The sequence below is a fragment of the Homo sapiens genome, chromosome 6 (genome assembly GCF_000001405.40).
Source record: "Homo sapiens chromosome 6, GRCh38.p14 Primary Assembly".
NCBI lineage: Eukaryota > Metazoa > Chordata > Mammalia > Primates > Hominidae > Homo > Homo sapiens.
In genome coordinates this window covers 1,421,073-1,438,702 of record NC_000006.12, presented here as the reverse complement: position 1 = coordinate 1,438,702, position 17,630 = coordinate 1,421,073, and the positions used below count along the sequence as shown (strand labels likewise).

Genomic DNA, 17,630 nt, shown 5'->3' with positions numbered 1-17,630 from the left:
TGGGAGACCTGGAGGAGGCTGCAGCCCTGACCCCGGCTTGGCCAGGGTGGTGGGCGTGCTGGAGAAGCATGTTTGGACAGAGGTCTGTTCTGATGGATCAGAGGTGGTGTGTGAGAGAAGGAGGTCACAGTGGAGCTCAGGGCTTTGGATCAGGGCCAGTGAGGGCTCGGGGTCGTGGTGCTCTGCGGGGTTGTGGGAGGATCAGGCTTTTGCATGGAAGATCAGGAGTTTAATTCTGGACGTGCTTCATCTAGGGTAATCTATGGGACAGGAACAGAGGTGCCAGGTAGGCAGGTGATTAAGGCGTTGGGGGAGAGCAACACGTTTGGGAGTGATTAGCATAGCGACTGTTTTGAAAGGCAGGAGCTGGGTGGGATGAGAGGAGAGAGGCTTGGTGCGCTCTAGTGCTTATTGATTAATGAGAGGAAACAGCAGGGGAGACCTGAGGGACGAGGAGCAAGCGAGGAGAGGTGAGTCCTGGAGGCCAGAAAGGAGGGGTCTCTAGGAGGGAGTTGCCGAGAGCCTGCATCAGGTGCCCTGAGAAATCAAAGGAGCTGAGGACTCAGAATGGAAAGGGGCGGAGGTGGGGTGGGGGTGGGGGTGGGGTGGGGGGACTGCCTTTTTATTTAGATGGGAGAAGTTGCCAGAATGTGTGTGTGTGTGTGTGTTGATGGGAATGGAGACCCGAAGGGCAGCCCCGGTGTGAGGCACCCAGCACGGCCCGAGCTCTGACACTGGCAGCCCCTGGGCTCTGAGATTCTTTCCAACCTGTGCTCATTTTTCCAGGCCCAAGACACCGTGCCAGAGACAGCACGAGAAACAATGAAGTCCTTCAGAGGCACAAACTCCCTGCCCAACTGAGATCACTGCCTCTCTCCACCTGCAGCCCCCACATGCGCGGTCCTAGACACCCAGGCCCACACTGCACCTAATGTCCTCACTTTCCCCCCGGGGATAGTTCTTACAATTTAAGGGGAAGATGGTTCTGGGGCCGGTGCAGACTGCGGGCTGCGTCTCCACCTGTTGCCCTGCAGCTTGCCGTGTGGCCAGGCCAGAGTGGATGCTCCAGAGCCTTTGCTGAGTGAATCCAAGACTTGCTTTAAAAACAGACTTTCTTCATTTAAGCTCTGATTTGGACAAATACATCCAAGAAACAGCACACTATCAAAACGAATTTCCACACAGCAATGTAAAAACACAGCACAGAAAAATGACAACAGCCTGAGGCCAGAACAAAGACTCCTAGAAACATCTTCATACAACTTAAAATTGGGAGGCTGGGTGCGGTGGCTCATGCCTGTAATCCTAGCACTTTGGGAGGCTGAGATGGAAGGATCTCTTGAGGCCAGGAGTTTGAGATCAGCCTGGTCAACATAGTGAGATCCACCCCATCTCTTAAAAAAACAATTTTAAATTAGGAAATAAGAGAAGTCGAACTTGCCATTTAATGGTGATGAGCATGGAGGGGATACTTTTCCTCGCAGACTGTTTCATTTTCTGGCTGTGATAAAGCCAACACTTGCTTTTTCTGATCACCAGGACGGGGGTGCTCTTGCAGTGCCCACGTCAGGGGGAGTTTTTGGTGTGAGACAGCGTCCAGACTCTTCACTGAAATTCAAGTGCTGAAAGGACTTTCTAAGCCTCAGAGGGAAGTGGAGATGAGATGAGAATCTGACTTTTGCCCCAGTATTTGGCTTGCAAAGATGGAATGTTCCTTTGTGGACTCTGAGAATGCTGTATTAATGTGGAGGTAGAGCTGTTAGGGCCAACGCTAAGAGCTCCCAGTAGAGGGACAGGCTCGCTTTAGAGAAACTCTGTGTCATATGAGTTTTGTCCATGAGATGGCGGTGTCGTATCATAAAAGAAACCTTCCCTTTTAACTATTGCTCTGAAAAACCCGGTAACAACTTTTTAAAAAAAGGCATCTTGCTCCCCCATATCCTGCCTCCCTTGTCTTCTAACCTGGAGTTTTGAGAGGCTCCTGGCTTTCTTCCAACGTTTACATTACACACGTTCTCTTGAATCTAGGTGTCTGCAAAGTATGTGTTCCCTACCATTAGGGCAATGCCTTCTCTGCTGCTGTTTTGTGTCTGAGGCTAATCTTGTCTATCTGCCCTCATGAACATAATTCTGGAGAGCGGGGGGCGGGCAGAGGCTCTGCTGTGGCGTCTAGAGCTGCAGACTTCTCTGCACCCTCCGGGCCCACTGGCGGAGGTGCCCAGATGCCATCAGAGTGAGTCTTTTAGTCCCAGCACCCCTCCAGGAGCTAAGGGGGACCTCTCCTTCCCCTCTCGGGAACAGGTCCACCCTGCAACCACAGATTGCTTTTTTCTTTATTTTTTATTGTGGCCACATAACATAAAATTTGGCATTTTAACCATTTTGAAGTGTGCAGTTTAGTGGCATTAAGTACATTCACACTCTTGTGCAACCATCACCACTACCCATCTCCAAAACTCTTTTCATTTTGTAAATAAATCTCTGCACTGATTAAAGACTAGCTCCCATTCCCCCTCTCCCCAGCCCCTGGCAATCCTTATTCTACTCTCCATCTCCATGAACCTGACTCCTCTGGATACCTCGTATGAGTGGAACCACACAGTATTTATCTGTTCTGAGACCGACTTGCTTTACTGAGCATGATGTTCTCAAGGTTCATCCATGCCGTTGCACGTCTCAGGATTTCCTTCCTTTCTAAAGTTGACTCACACTGCATTGTATGGATGGACGGCCTCTTGTTTGTCCAGTCATCTGCTGATGGACGCCAGGCTGGTTGCACTCCTTGACATTGTAAATAACACTCTTATAAACATGGGAGGCAAATATCTATCCAAGACCCTGCTGTGAATTCTTTTGTGGATGTCCCAGATGGAATTGCTAGGTCAGATGATAATTCTAGGTTACATTTTTTTTTTTTTGAGACAAGGTCTCACTCTGTCGCCCAGGCTGGAGTGCAGTAGTGTGATCTCGGCTCACTGCAACCTCCACCTTCCCAGCTCAAGCAATTCTCCTGCCTTAGCCTCACAAGCAGATGGGATTACAGGTGCATGCCACCACACCCAGCTAGTTTTGTATTTTTAGTAGAGATGGGGTTTCGCCATGTTGGACAGGCTGGTCTCCAACTCCTGACCTCAGGTGATCCGCCCGCTTCAGCCTCCCAAAGTGCTGGGATTACAGGCGTGAGCCACCATGGCCGGCCTCTAGGTTACCTTTTTTGAGTAATCACTGTATAGTTTTCCGCGGCAGCTGCCCAGGGGTTCCAGTTTCTCCACATCCTCACCATCACTGTTCAGTGCATCCTTTTAAGCATTGCTAGGCACATACACCCAGGCTAACATGGAAGAAGAGCTTCCCAGCAGCTTCTTACAGTTCCTGTTGATGTGTATTAATAGGATACCTGCCTTATATTTCCCAGACATTTGGAACATTATCCCTATTAATCAACTCTCCTTCCACTTCCCTCTTTACAACATGGTCATTTTAAATAAAACTACACCAAACTCCTTGTCAGGGAAGCATTATAGAGTTATTTAGTTTCATCTTTGAAAGAAGATGAGGCATAGGAAAGGAGTAACTTTCAAATGTTAACTTATTGATTCTCTAAGCAAAATGGTGAGGTGAGTTTCATAGTCCCAGGTTTTCAGATGAGGAGAAGGAAGTCCAGAGAGGTTAGTGCTCATGTGGGCAGGAGCAGGGGTGTGAATGAATCACAGAAGATTGGCATAGATAATGGTTCATCTATATTATCAGAAAAGCCAGGCTCTGAATTTTAAGTTTTGGGTTTTTTCCCCCTCATTATAAGAATTCTACGGGGCTGGGTGTGGTGGCTCATACCTGTAATCGTAGTGCTTTGGGAGGCTGAGGCAGGAGAATCGCTTCAGGACAGGAGTTCGAGACCAGTGTAGGCAAGATATTGAGACCCCCGATTTCTACATAAAAAAAAAAATTGCTGGGGGGAGGAGCCAAGATGGCCGAATAGGAACAGCTCCGGTCTACAGCTCCCAGCGTGAGCAACGCAGAAGATGGGTGATTTCTGCATTTCCATCTGAGGTACCAGGTTCATCTCACTAGGGAGTGCCAGACAGTGGGTGCAGGTCAGTGGGTGCACGCACCGTGCGCGAGCCGAAGCAGGGCGAGGCATTGCCTCACTTGGGAAGCGCAAGGGGTCAGGGAGTTCCCTTTCCTGGTCAAAGAAAGGGGTGAAAGACGGCACCTGGAAAATCAGGTCACTCCCACCCGAATACTGTGCTTTTCCGACGGGCTTAAAAAACGGCGCACCAGGAGATTATATCCCGCACATGGCTCGGAGGGTCCTGCGCCCACGGAGTCTTGCTGATTGCTAGCACAGCAGTCTGAGATCAAACTGCAAGGCGGCAGCGAGGCTGGGGGAGGGGCACCCGCCATTGCCCAGGCTTGCTTAGGTAAACAAAGCAGCCGGGAAGCTCGAACTGGGTGGAGCCCACCACAGCTCAAGGAGGCCTGCCTGCCTCTGTAGGCTCCACCTCTGGGGGCAGGTCACAGACAAACAAAAAGACAGCAGTAACCTATGCAGACTTAAATGTCCCTGTCTGACAGCTTTGAAGAGAGCAGTGGTTCTCCCAGCACGCAGCTGGAGATCTGAGAACTGGCAGACTGCCTCCTCAAGTGGATCCCTGACCCCTGACCCCCGAGCAGCCTAACTGGGAGGCACCCCCCAGTAGGGACAGACTGACACTTCACATGGCCGGGTACTCCTCTGAGACAAAACTTCCAGAGGAACGATCAGACAGCAGCATTCGCGGTTCACGAAAAACTGCTGTTCTACAAACACCGCTGCTGATACCCAGGCAAACAGGGTCTGTAGTGGACCTCTAGCAAACTCCAACAGACCCGCAGCTGAGGGTCCTGTCTGTTAGAAGGAAAAGTAACAAACAGAAAGGACATCCACACCAAAAACCCATCTGTACATCACCATCATCAAAGACCAAAAGTAGATAAAACCACAAAGATGGGGAAAAAACAGAGCAGAAAAGCTGGAAACTCTAAAAAGCAGAGCATCTCTCCTCCTCCAAAGGAACGCAGTTCCTCACCAGCAATGGAACAAAGCTGGACGGAGAATGACTTTGACGAGTTGAGAGAAGAAGGCTTCAGACGATCAAACTACGAGCTACAGGAGGAAATTCAAACCAAAGGCAAAGAAGTTAAAAACTTTGAAAAAAATTTAGACGAATGTATAACTAGAATAACCAATGCAGAGAAGTGCTTAAAGGAGCTGATGGAGCTGAAAGTCAAGGCTCGAGAACTACGTGAAGAATGCAGAAGCCTCAGGAGCCGATGCGATCAACTGGAAGAAAGGGTATCAGTGATGGAAAATGAAATGAAGCAAGAAGGGAAGTTTAGAGAAAAAAGAATAAAAAGAAATGAACAAAGCCTCCAAGAAATATGGGACTATGTGAAAAGACCAAATCTACGTCTGATTGGTGTACCTGAAAGTGACGGGGAGAATGGAACCAAGTTGGAAAACACTCTGCAGGATATAATCCAGGAGAACTTCCCCAACCTAGCAAGGCAAGCCAACATTCAAATTCAGGAAATACAGAGAATGCCACAAAGATACTCCTCAAAAAGAGCAACTCCAAGACACATAATTGTCAGATTCACCAAAGTTGAAATGAAGGAAAAAATGTTAAGGGCAGCCAGAGAGAAAGGTCGGGTTACCCACAAAGGGAAGCCCATCAGACTAACAGCGGATCTCTTGGCAGAAACTCTACAAGCCAGAAGAGAGTGGGGGCCAATATTCAACATTCTTAAAGAAAAGAATTTTCAACCCAGAATTTCATATCCAGCCAAACTAAGCTTCGTAAGTGAAGGAGAAATAAAATACTTTACAGACAAGCAAATGCTGAGAGATTTTGTCACCACCAGGCCTGCCCTAAAAGAGCTCCTGAAGGAAGCACTAAACATGGAAAGGAACAACCGGTACCAGCCGCTGCAAAATCATGCCAAAATGTAAAGACCATCGAGACTAGGAAGAAACTGCATCAGCTAACGAGCAAAATAACCAGCTAACATCATAATGACAGGATCAAATGCACACATAACAATATTAACTTTAAATGTAAATGGACTAAATGCTGCAATTAAAAGACACAGACTGGCAAATTGGATAAAGAGTCAAGACCCATCAGTGTGCTGTATTCAGGAAACCCATCTCACATGCAGAGACACACATAGGCTCAAAATAAAAGGATGGAGGAAGATCTACCAAGCAAATGGAAAACAAAAAAAGGCAGGGGTTGCAATCCTAGTCTCTGATAAAACAGACTTTAAACCAACAAAGATCAAAAGAGACAAAGAAGGCCATTACATAATGGTAAAGGGATCAATTCAACAAGAGGAGCTAACTATCCTAAATATATATGCACCCAATACAGGAGCACCCAGATTCATAAAGCAAGTCCTGAGTGACCTACAAAGAGACTTAGACTCCCACACATTAATAATGGGAGACTTTAACACCCCACTGTCAACATTAGACAGATCAACAAGACAGAAAGTCAACAAGGATACCCAGGAATTGAACTCAGCTCTGCACCAAGTGGACCTAATAGACATCTACAGAACTCTCCACCCCAAATCAACAGAATATACATTTTTTTCAGCACCACACCACGCCTATTCCAAAATTGACCACATAGTTGGAAGTAAAGCTCTCCTCAGCAAATGTAAAAGAACAGAAATTATAGCAAACTATCTCTCAGACCACAGTGCAATCAAACTAGAACTCAGGATTAAGAAACTCACTCAAAACCGCTCAACTACATGGAAACTGAACAACCTGCTCCTGAATGACTACTGGGTACATAACGAAATGAAGGCAGAAATAAAGATGTTCTTTGAAACCAATGAGAACAAAGACACAACATACCAGAATCTCTGGGACACATTCAAAGCAGTGTGTAGAGGGAAATTTATGGCACTAAATGCCCACAAGAGAAAGCAGGAAAGATCCAAAATTGACACCCTAAAATCACAATTAAAAGAACTAGAAAAGCAAGAGAAAACACATTCAAAAGCTAGCAGAAGGCAAGAGATAACTAAAATCAGAGCAGAACTGAAGGAAATAGAGACCCAAGAAACCCTTCAAAAAATTAATGAATCCAGGAGCTGGTTTTTTGAAAGGATCAACAAAATTGATAGACCGCTAACAAGACTAATAAAGAAAAAAAGAGAGAAGAATCAAATAGACGCAATAAAAACTGATAAAGGGGATATCACCACCGATCCCACAGAAATAGAAACTACCATCAGAGATTACTACAAACACCTCTACGCAAATAAACTAGAAAATCTAGAAGAAATGGATAAATTCCTCGACACATACACTCTCCCAAGACTAAACCAGGAAGAAGTTGAATCTCTGAATAGACCAATAACAGGATCTGAAATTGTGGCAATAATCAATAGCTTACCAACCAAAAAGAGTCCAGGACCAGATGGATTCACAGCCGAATTCTACCAGAGGTACAAGGAGGAACTGGCACCATTCCTTCTGAAACTATTCCAATCAATAGAAAAAGAGGGAATCCTCCCTAACTCATTTTATGAGGCCAGCATCATCCTGATACCAAAGCTGGGCAGAGACACAACCAAAAAAGAGAATTTTAGACCAATATCCTTGATGAACACTGATGCAAAAATCCTCAATAAAATACTGGCAAACCGAATCCAGCAGCACCTCAAAAACCTTATCCACCATGATCAAATGGGCTTCATCCTGGGATGCAAGGCTGGTTCAACATACTCAAATCAATAAATGTAATCCAGCATATAAACAGAACCAAAGACAAAAACCACGTGATTATCTCAATAGATGCAGAAAAGGCCTTTGACAAAATTCAACAACCCTTCATGCTAAAAACTCTCAATAAATTAGGTATTGATGGGATGTATCTCAAAATAATAAGAGCTATCTATGACAAACCCACAGCCAATATCATACTGAATGGGCCCAAACTGGAAGCATTCCCTTTGAAAACTGGCACAAGACAGGGATGCCCTCTCTCACCACTCCTATTCAACATAGTGTTGGAAGTTCTGGCCAGGGCAATTAGGCTGGAGAAGGAAATAAAGGGTATTCAATTAGGAAAAGAGGAAGTCAAATTGTCCCTGTTTGCAGCCGACATGACTGTATATCTAGAAAACCCCATTGTCTCAGCCCAAAATCTCCTTAAGCTGATAAGCAACTTCAGCAAAGTCTCAGGATACAAAATCAATGTACAAAAATCACAAGCATTCTTATACACCAATAGCAGACAGAAAGCCAAATCATGAGTGAACTCCCATTCACAATTGCTTCAAAGAGAATAAAATACCTAGGAATCCACCTTACAAGGGACGTGAAGGACCTCTTCAAGGAGAACTACAAACCACTGCTCAATGAAATAAAAGAGGATACAAAGAAATGGAAGAACATTCCATGATCATGGGTAGGAAGAATCAATATCATGAAAATGGCCATACTGCCCAAGGTAATTTATAGATTCAATGCCATCCCCATCAAGCTACCAATGACTTTCTTCACAGAATTGGAAAAAACTACTTTAAAGTTTATATGGAACCAAAAAAGAGCCCGCATCGCCAAGTCAATCCTAAGCCAAAAGAACAAAGTCGGAGGCATCACGCTACCTGACTTCAAACTATACTACAAGGCTACAGTAACCAAAACAGCATGGTACTGGTACCAAAACAGAGATATAGACCAATGGAACAGAACAGAGCCCTCAGAAATAATGCCGCATATCTACAACTATCTGATCTTTGACAAACCTGAGAAAAACAAGCAATGGGGAAAGGATTCCCTATTTAATAAATGGTGCTGGGAAAACTGGCTAGCCATATGTAAAAAGCTGAAACTGGATCCCTTCCTTACACCTTACACAAAAATCAATTCAAGATGGATTAAAGACTTAAATGTTAGACCTAAAACCATAAAAACCCTAGAAGAAAACCTAGGCATTACCATTCAGGACATAGGCATGGGCAAGGACTTCATGTCTAAAACACCAAAAGCAATGGCAACAAAAGCCAAAATTGACAAATGGGATCTAATTAAACTAAAGAGCTTCTGCACAGCAAAAGAAACTACCATCAGAGTGAACAGGCAACCCACAAAATGGGAGAAAATTTTCGCAACCTACTCATCTGACAAAGGGCTAATATCCCGAATCTACAATGAACTCCAACAAATTTACAAGAAAAAAACAAACAACCCCATCAAAAAGTGGGCAAAGGACATGAACAGACACTTCTCAAAAGAAGACATTTATGCAGCCAAAAAACACGTGAAAAAATGCTCACCATCACTGGCCATCAGAGAAATGCAAGTCAAAACCACAATGAGTTATCATCTCACACCAGTTAGAATGGCAATCATTAAAAAGTCAGGAAACAACAGGTGCTGGAGAGGATGTGGAGAAATAGGAACACTTTTACACTGTTGGTGGGACTGTAAACTAGTTCAACCATTGTGGAAGTCAGTGTGGTGATTCCTCAGGGATCTAGAACTAGAAATACCATTTGACCCAGCCATCCCATTACTGGGTATATACCCAAAGGACTATAAATCATGCTGCTATAAAGACACATGCACACATATGTTTATTGTGGCACTATTCACAATAGCAAAGACTTGGAACCAACCCAAATGTCCAACAACGATAGACTGGATTAAGAAAATGTGGCACATATACACCATGGAATACTATGCAGCCATAAAAAATGATGAGTTCATTTCCTTTGTAGGGACATGGATGAAATTGGAAATCATCATTCTCAGTAAACTGTCACAAGAACAAAAAACCAAACACCGCATATTCTCACTCATAGATGGGAATTGAACAATGAGAACATATGGACACAGGAAGGGGAACATCACACTCTGGGGACTGTTGTGGGGTGGGGGGAGGGGGGAGGGATAGCATTGGGAGATATACCTAATGCTAGATGACGAGTTAGTGGGTGCAGCGCACCAGCATGGCACATGTATACATATGTAACTAACCTGCACATTGTGCACATGTACCCTAAAACTTAAAGTATAATAATAAAAAAAAAAGAAAAAAAATTGCCAGCCATGGTGGCATTCATCTCTAGTCCCAGCTACTCCAGAGGCTGAGGCAGGAGGATTGCTTGATCCCAGGTGGTCGAGGCTGCAGTGAGCCCTGATTGTACCACGGCACTCCAGCCTCGGAGACAGAGTGAGACCCAGTCTCTAGAAAGAAAAGAATTCTACAGGGGGATAAGCATTTCTCATTGAAATAATTCTTTGTGCTGTGGTGAACTGCAGAGTCAGCCAGCAGCTCATGTTAAATTTGCCCCCTCTCCTGGGTGACTGGGGCTCACTGCCTCACCCGGGCTTGAGTGCTCTCGGCCCCTGTGGTGTGTGGTGTGGCTTGCCTCCCTCTGCACCTGCCTGAGGCACAGCCACTCCCTCTGAGACTATGTCTGTTGGCATCAGAGTCTTCATAGATGAGCACCCAGGGAGCATGGAGCAGAGGAGTGACACATTATTTAAAATAAGACATACGTTGGCATAAACTCTGCTGATTTTGTGCAAAAGAATAGAGGGCTATGTCCTGGATTTTAAAAGTCCTACGTTAAAATCTGTCATTTTATTTTATTATTCTTATTTATTTATTGAGACAGAGTCTTGCTCTGTCCCCCAGGCTGGAGTGCAGTGGTGCCGTCACCGCTCCTTGCAGCCTCGACCTCCTGGGCTCAAGCGATCCTCCAGCCTCAGCCTCCGGAGCAGCTGGGACTGCAAGCATGCACCACCACACCCAGCTATTATTTTCTATTTTTAGTAGAGATGGATGAGGTCTCACTGTGTTGCCCAGGCTGTCTTGAACTCCTAGGCTCAGGTAATCCTCCTACCTTGGCCTCCCAAAGTGCCAGGATAATAGGCCTGAGCCACTGCATCCAGCCTTAAAATCTGTAATTTTGGCTGGGCATGGTGGCTCACGCCTGTAATCTCAGCACTTTCGGAGGCCGAGATGGGTGGATCACCTGAGGTCAGGAGTTCAGGACCAGCCTGGCGAACATGGTGAACACCTGTCTCTACTAAAAAATACAAAAATCAGCCGGCGTGGTGGCAGGCACCTGTAATCCCAGCTACTCGGGAAGCTGAGACAGGAGAATTTCTTGAACCCGGGAGGTGGAGGTTACAGTGAGCTGAGATCCGAACATTGCACTCCAGCCTGGGCAACAAGAGCAAAACTTCATCTCAAAAAAAGAAAAAAAAAATCTGTAATTTTAATTGTCTTCTGTTATCTGTGCAACGTATGTAAAAGATGTTTCAGTGAATTGTGTGTGACTGTGTATTGGTGAGTAGGAGCACTGAGAGTGGGATGATTCGTCCTGGCCCTCAGTTTCTCTACAAGCCCTTCTTCCACTCGGTGAGTGACACAGAAGGATAAGGGACTATTTCACCTTACAGGCTCCCCGCTTACTTGGGATGTCTGAGCTCCTTCTCTCCCAAGGTCTTCTTCAGGGACTTCTCCTAAATGCTTGGAGAGGTTGGAATTCCAGCGCTCCCACTCACCCACTCACCCACTCACCAGCTGCGCAGTTTTAGATTTGCCTAAACTCTCTGAGCTTTCAGCCAAAATGGGTGAGATGAGGATTACATGAAATCACGTGTGCAAAGTGTTTGGCGATAGAACGTGCTTGCTGTTCTGTTTGGGGGGCAGCTGAGATTGTTATCCTGGGGGTGGGCGTGAGTGGTAGAGAGGCTTCCAGAAACGTATTGTGGTTGTCCATGGTCACCAGGTGGAGCTGGGTTTAAAAACATGTTGATGAATTCCTTAACTTCGGAAGTGTATTACTTAGCAGGGAGAGACACGTACGGCTTCTCGGGTCTCCGTACCCTTGGTGGTTTCTGGAAGGATCCTAGAGTTGCAGAGTTGTGAGGAGCTGTCTCTTGGGTTCTGAAAGGAGGAATTGTGGCTGGGAAGCCCTGGTCTCAACTCTGGTGGCCGTGGGCACAGCTCTTCCCATGGATGGTCCAGGCTCAGCTCCTGGGAAGGGGTGGTAACCAGTAGGTAGGGCCTGGGCTGCCTGAAGCCTGTCCCCTTCCTGTTCCTTGAGTAGTGAATCCGTTTTTGGATAAGCTGCTCGTGAGGAGCGACGGCCAGTCTCTCACACCGAGAGTGGTGGAAGAAAGGACTCTTGCCACTTCCTCATGATCTCTAACAGATGTGGTAGACGGTGTGCAGCCGTTGGTAAATGTGACTTATTTTGTAAGCATTTAAAAGAGAGAAAAATTAAACAATTGAAAGAGGGATGGATACTTCGGATAGCATTCTCTACAAAGTGGAGTTAGCTACTGGAAACACAGGGGAGTGATCTGATTTCTATAATAAAAGACTATTTTGCTTCAATTGTAGTAGAACTAGTGTTCCGGCCAAAAAAAGCAAAGCTGATCTTGTATCTACAAGCGTTTGGAGAAAAACGTAGTCTTAAAAACAACAACTACTACTGCTGCTAATATATAATTAAAACTGTGTGGTTTAAAAAATTTATTTACAAAGAGTAGGCATCAAAGCAGGTAACCAGGATGTGGGGAATCTGACGGGTTCACAGGGGCCAATCCTGTCGATTTGCAAGGACTAGGAATTACTCGTCAGCTGTCCTCCCTGGGAGCACCGTGCCTGCGGCCATGAGATCTCTCTAACAACTCCATACCCTTGCGGGTTCCTTACAATTCACAAGTGCGCTAACTTACACACAGCTATGCCATAAGGAACGCAAGATACCCAGAAACTGACATCCTTTCCACTCAGGTCCACCCTCGTCAAAAGCACCTTTTCTCTTTCCTCTGCTTCACTCAAGGTGTATGTCAAAGGGCTCTACTTGGAACCAAAAGTATTTAAATTTTTGGATTTGGGAATATTTCCATATACATAATGAGATATCTTGGGGATGGGACCCAAGTCTAGACATGAAATTCACTTATGTTTCATATACATCTCATATGCATACCCTGAAGGTAATTTTACACAATATTTAAATAAATCTGTGCATGAAACAAAGTTGGTGCACATTGGCCCATCAGAAAGCAAAGGTGTTCCGGGCAGGGCATGATGGCTCAAGCGTGTAATCCCAGCACTTTGGGAGGCCGAGGCGGGCGGATCACTTTAGGCCAGGAGTTCGAGATCAGCCTGATCAACATGGCAAAAACCCGTCTCTACTAAAAACAAAAAAATTAGCTGGGCGTGGTGGCGTGTGGCTGTAATCCTAGCTACTTGGGAGGCTGAGGCAGGAGAATCGCTTTAACCCAGGAGGCGGAGGTTGCAGTGAGCCGAGATTGCAATAGTGCACTCCAGTCTGGGTGACAGAGCCAGAGGCCATCAGAAAATAAAAAAGAAAGAAAGAAAGAAGAAGGAAGGAAGGAAGGAGGAATGAAGGAAGAAAAAGAAAGAAAGAGAGAGAAAGAAAGAAAGAAAGGTGATCCTATCTCAGCCACCCGTGAGAACAGCCTGTGGTTGTTTGGCATCACCATCCTTCCTGACTCTGGATTTATGTGATACCAATAAGCAATCATTTTCTTACATTTATTCACACTTTATAGTCAAAAAATATGACATACGTATCTGGTGTGTGGAAGATATGTTGCAGCTGAAGGGGGCTGGGAGGGTCTTTGTTCCCTTGGGGATGCTGAATAAACTACGTCTTGTGTGGCTGTGTTTTGGCTGCTACCCATCAATGAGGTCAGGTGTGGAATTTTCCACCTGGGGCATCATGTCAGTGCTTAAAAATTTCAGATTTTGGAGCATTTTGGATTTTTGGATGAGGGATGCTAACCTGATAATAGCTAACGCTCATACAGCACTGTGCGCTCACAATCTCTAAATGCTTTAATCTGTATCGAGTCATTACTCCACACAACCACCCTGTGAAGCAGGCACTGTCAACAACCCACTTCATGGATGAGGACACCAAGGCACCAGGAGGCTACGTAATCACCCAAGACCACACAGGTAAGTGTCAGAGCTGAGACCCAAACCCAGCAGTCAGACTCTAGAGCCGATTCCCTCCCAACCACTATTCTTTACTGCCTGTAAATGAAAACTAAGTTAAAATTCTAGCCCGATTTCCATGAGCTGGTCATTTGGACAGTACCCAGCTAAATGGAATCCTGCCACCTAACGGCACCGTCACTAGATGGCAGTGAAGACACCAGGTCGGTTTTCCTCCCTGCAGACTCTGCCTTGACGTCTCCGGGCGTTGCAGAAATCACACCGCCCTGATGTCAGCCTTAGCAGCGAGGATTCCTCCAGACTTCCAACCTAAACGTTCAGAGTCACTTCCGAGGCTCAACTCAGGACACTGTGCTCAGGGGAAAATAGTCAAATACTAGATGTCAAAACCTCAAAAGAAAAGAGTGAGTTTAGAAAAACAGTGGTTCTTCAAGGAGCCCCAGCCAGGGGGTGCATCTTGGAACTGCTAAAAGCTGAAGAAAAGAGTCCTGGGCAAAATTTGCAATAAAAAGGCACGTGGTAATCATCGACCTCTAGACAGAGACATGGCTAGACTTCAGGTCCCACGGCCTCAGTTACATCACCCTCGGGAGGGTGTGGCCTGTTCTTGAAGACCTCTAGAAAGGTCGCTCCTCAGCTTGCAGCCAGTACCACCCCACCTCCCGCTGCAGGTGGACAGGGCCTGCAGTGTTCTGCAGCTGCTCTTCTCCTGCCTCCCAAATCCTGGCTGGCCTATAACTTGCTTTGACTGATGCATTGCAGCACCCAGCAATGTGCAAGGTCAGAGTCTGGGCCTCCAGGAACCTTGTGCATCCACCATGACCTTCTCGGAATGCACTTGTGGCCTGTAAGGAAGCCCTGGAGGAGGCAAGCTGAGTCACGACTGCCCATGTGAAGAAGGAGGGCCAGCACACACCACCAGGCCTGTGAGGCAGGCCCTGCAGACCTGTCCAGCGGGTGCCAGCTGGGTGCAGCCTCCCAAGCGAGCTCGAACAGCCCCCAGAGCCAGGAGACAGAATGGATCGTCCTGGTTGTAAGCCACCTAGTTTTGGTGTGGTTTGTTATGTGGCGAGATAACCGGCCCACCTCTCTGGTGGGAAAGTCCGGTGCATATAAAAGGTAGTTATTTCCCTGAGTATTAGAGCTGGGACGGGGAGAGGTAGGGAGGGTGGGGAGAGGTAGGGAGGGTGGGGTAAGGCTGGGTAATGGATCCCAAATTACAGCTGGATAGGAGGAGAGAGTTCTGCCTTGGGGCAGGACTGTAGGGTGAATGTGGTCAGCACTAATTTATTGTATATTTCAAAAAGCTAGAAGTGAGGATTTTGAATGTTCAGAACACCGAGAAATGATACATGTCTGGAGATGAATTTGCTAATTACCCGGATTTGGTCATTATGCATTGTAAACGTGCATCGCAGTATCACACTGTACCCCATAAATATGTATAATTATTATCAAAATACAGGAGGAAAAAACTTTATGAAACCTACTGCCAAATCCAAAGTTTGAATAAATTGTCTAGTGAATTTACATCTGAAAAAAAAGTTCTTTCCCTAACCTCAAGGCCCTGCATGAACCCCACAGCCCCTCTGTGCCTCTGCCTTCACTTTGGCCCTCGCTCAGCCCCCACCGACTTCAGCTCCTGGAGCGCACCTCATTTGCCCTGCTCCAGTCCCTCACAGGGACAGCTCCTTCCTCTGACATGTCCTGCTCCTGGCCGGCTTCCTGCCCGGATGTCACCAGTCTGAGAAGTCTAACCTGCGCCCACCTGAAATGTCTGGCGCCACCCTCCCCCTCTGCACTCCCTCCCCGCTTCCTTTGCTCTATTTTTCTTTCCCTCTTTTATCAGCACTTGGCATCGTTGCTGCTTTATCTCTTTGACTGTTTCCCCTCCTAACTACCCCTGCCCTGCCATTAAAATCAAGCTCCCTGAGTGCAGGGATTTGGTCTTCGTTCATGTTGTATCCAGGGCCTGTCCATAATACAAACAATAGCTAATACCTAAAAAGTGCTTATCACCAGCTGGGCACTGTTTAAAGGGTTAATTTACCCTCACAAAAAACTTAGGAGGTAGATACAATTACCCCCATTTTCTAGGTGAGAAAACAGAGTCACCAGCAGGTTCAGTAACTTGCCCTGGGTAACACAGCTACTGGGTGACACAGCTACTGGGTGACACAGCTACTGAGCGGCAGAGCAAGTATTTAAACCCAAGCTGACTGGCTCCTAGTGGGCACTCAATAAATACTTTTTAGTACATAAACAAATAAGTGACTGAACTTTCTATTTCTCCTGCTGCAGCAGGGCTCCAACAGGACAGGGAAAGATTTCTGCTGAGCAATCCCCACTGAGAACCAGAACTCCTTTTTTTATTATAAAAATGAAATTATTTCTTAGCCTCCTGATAGTATAGTTTACTTCCCTTCAGCATTTTTTTGTAAAAATGGAAATTTAGGCAACATTGTAGGGCAATATATCAATATAAAAAATCAATTATATTTCTAATAGCAATAAATATATAAATAATATTTATATACTTATATAAATATTTACTATAAATATATAATAATACATCAATAAATTATAATAATATATAATACATTAGATTAAGATATGGTATATTACATTAATGTATAATATAAATTATAAATATGATATATAATATAGAATATAAAGATATACATATTTATATATTTATTGCTATTATTAAATAATAAATAATATATAAATAATCTGAAAATGAGACTGATAAAACGATTTCAGTTACATGGGTATCAAGAAGAATCAAATACCTAGGAATAAATTTAAGAAGTGCAAAGCTTTTTACTCTTAAAACTATAATACATTGTTGAAAAAAATGAAAGACCTAAATCTATAGAAAGGTATCTCATATTCATGAATCAGAAAACTTCTTACTGTTAAGATGGCAATAGTCCCTAAATTGATGTACAGATTAAATGTAATCCCTATCAATATCCTAGCTTGCTTTGTTATGTAAATTAACATGCTAATCCTGAAATTTATATAGAAATTCAAGGACTGACTCAGGATAGCTAAACATTATTGAAAAAGAAGAACAAAGTTGGAGGATTCAGACTTCCCAATTTCAAAACTTACTACAAAGTTACAGTAATCAAGACAGTGTGGTACTGGCATAAGGACAAATATGTAGTCCAATGGGACTAAATTGAGAGTCCAGAAATCAGATTTTACATTATGGCCAATGCCATAAGAGAATAGCCTTTTCATCAAATGGTGCAAAAGAATAGGGTTGGACCCCTACCTCACACCATATTTAGGAAATGAATCAAAGACCTAAATGTAAGAGCTAAAACTATAAAACTCTTAGAAGAAAACAGGTGTAAATCTTGTGCTCTTGGTGAGGCAAAGCCTCCTTAGCTGTGACTCAAAAAGCATAACTGAGAAAAGATAATAGATGAATTGGACTTCATCAAAATAAAAAACTTTTGTGCTGCAAATGATATCTCCAACAAAGTAAAGAGGCAACCCACAGCATAGGAGAAAATATTTTCAAGCTGTGTATATAAAAAGAATCTTGTAGCCAGAATATATAAAGAACAACTTAACAGTAGGAAGATAAATAATTAAAAA

General features: G+C 44.9%; 2 annotated features.

The window, feature by feature from the left end:
• Positions 432-1,396: an enhancer, noted in NCBI's record as "H3K4me1 hESC enhancer chr6:1437542-1438506 (GRCh37/hg19 assembly coordinates)". NCBI's record gives its function as "activates a minimal SCP1, AML or CMV promoter by ChIP-STARR-seq in primed H9 embryonic stem cells {active_cell/tissue: H9 hESC(primed)}" and the evidence as "EXISTENCE:reporter gene assay evidence [ECO:0000049][PMID:30033119]".
• Positions 4,274-4,944: an enhancer, noted in NCBI's record as "H3K4me1 hESC enhancer chr6:1433994-1434664 (GRCh37/hg19 assembly coordinates)". NCBI's record gives its function as "activates a minimal SCP1, AML or CMV promoter by ChIP-STARR-seq in primed H9 embryonic stem cells {active_cell/tissue: H9 hESC(primed)}" and the evidence as "EXISTENCE:reporter gene assay evidence [ECO:0000049][PMID:30033119]".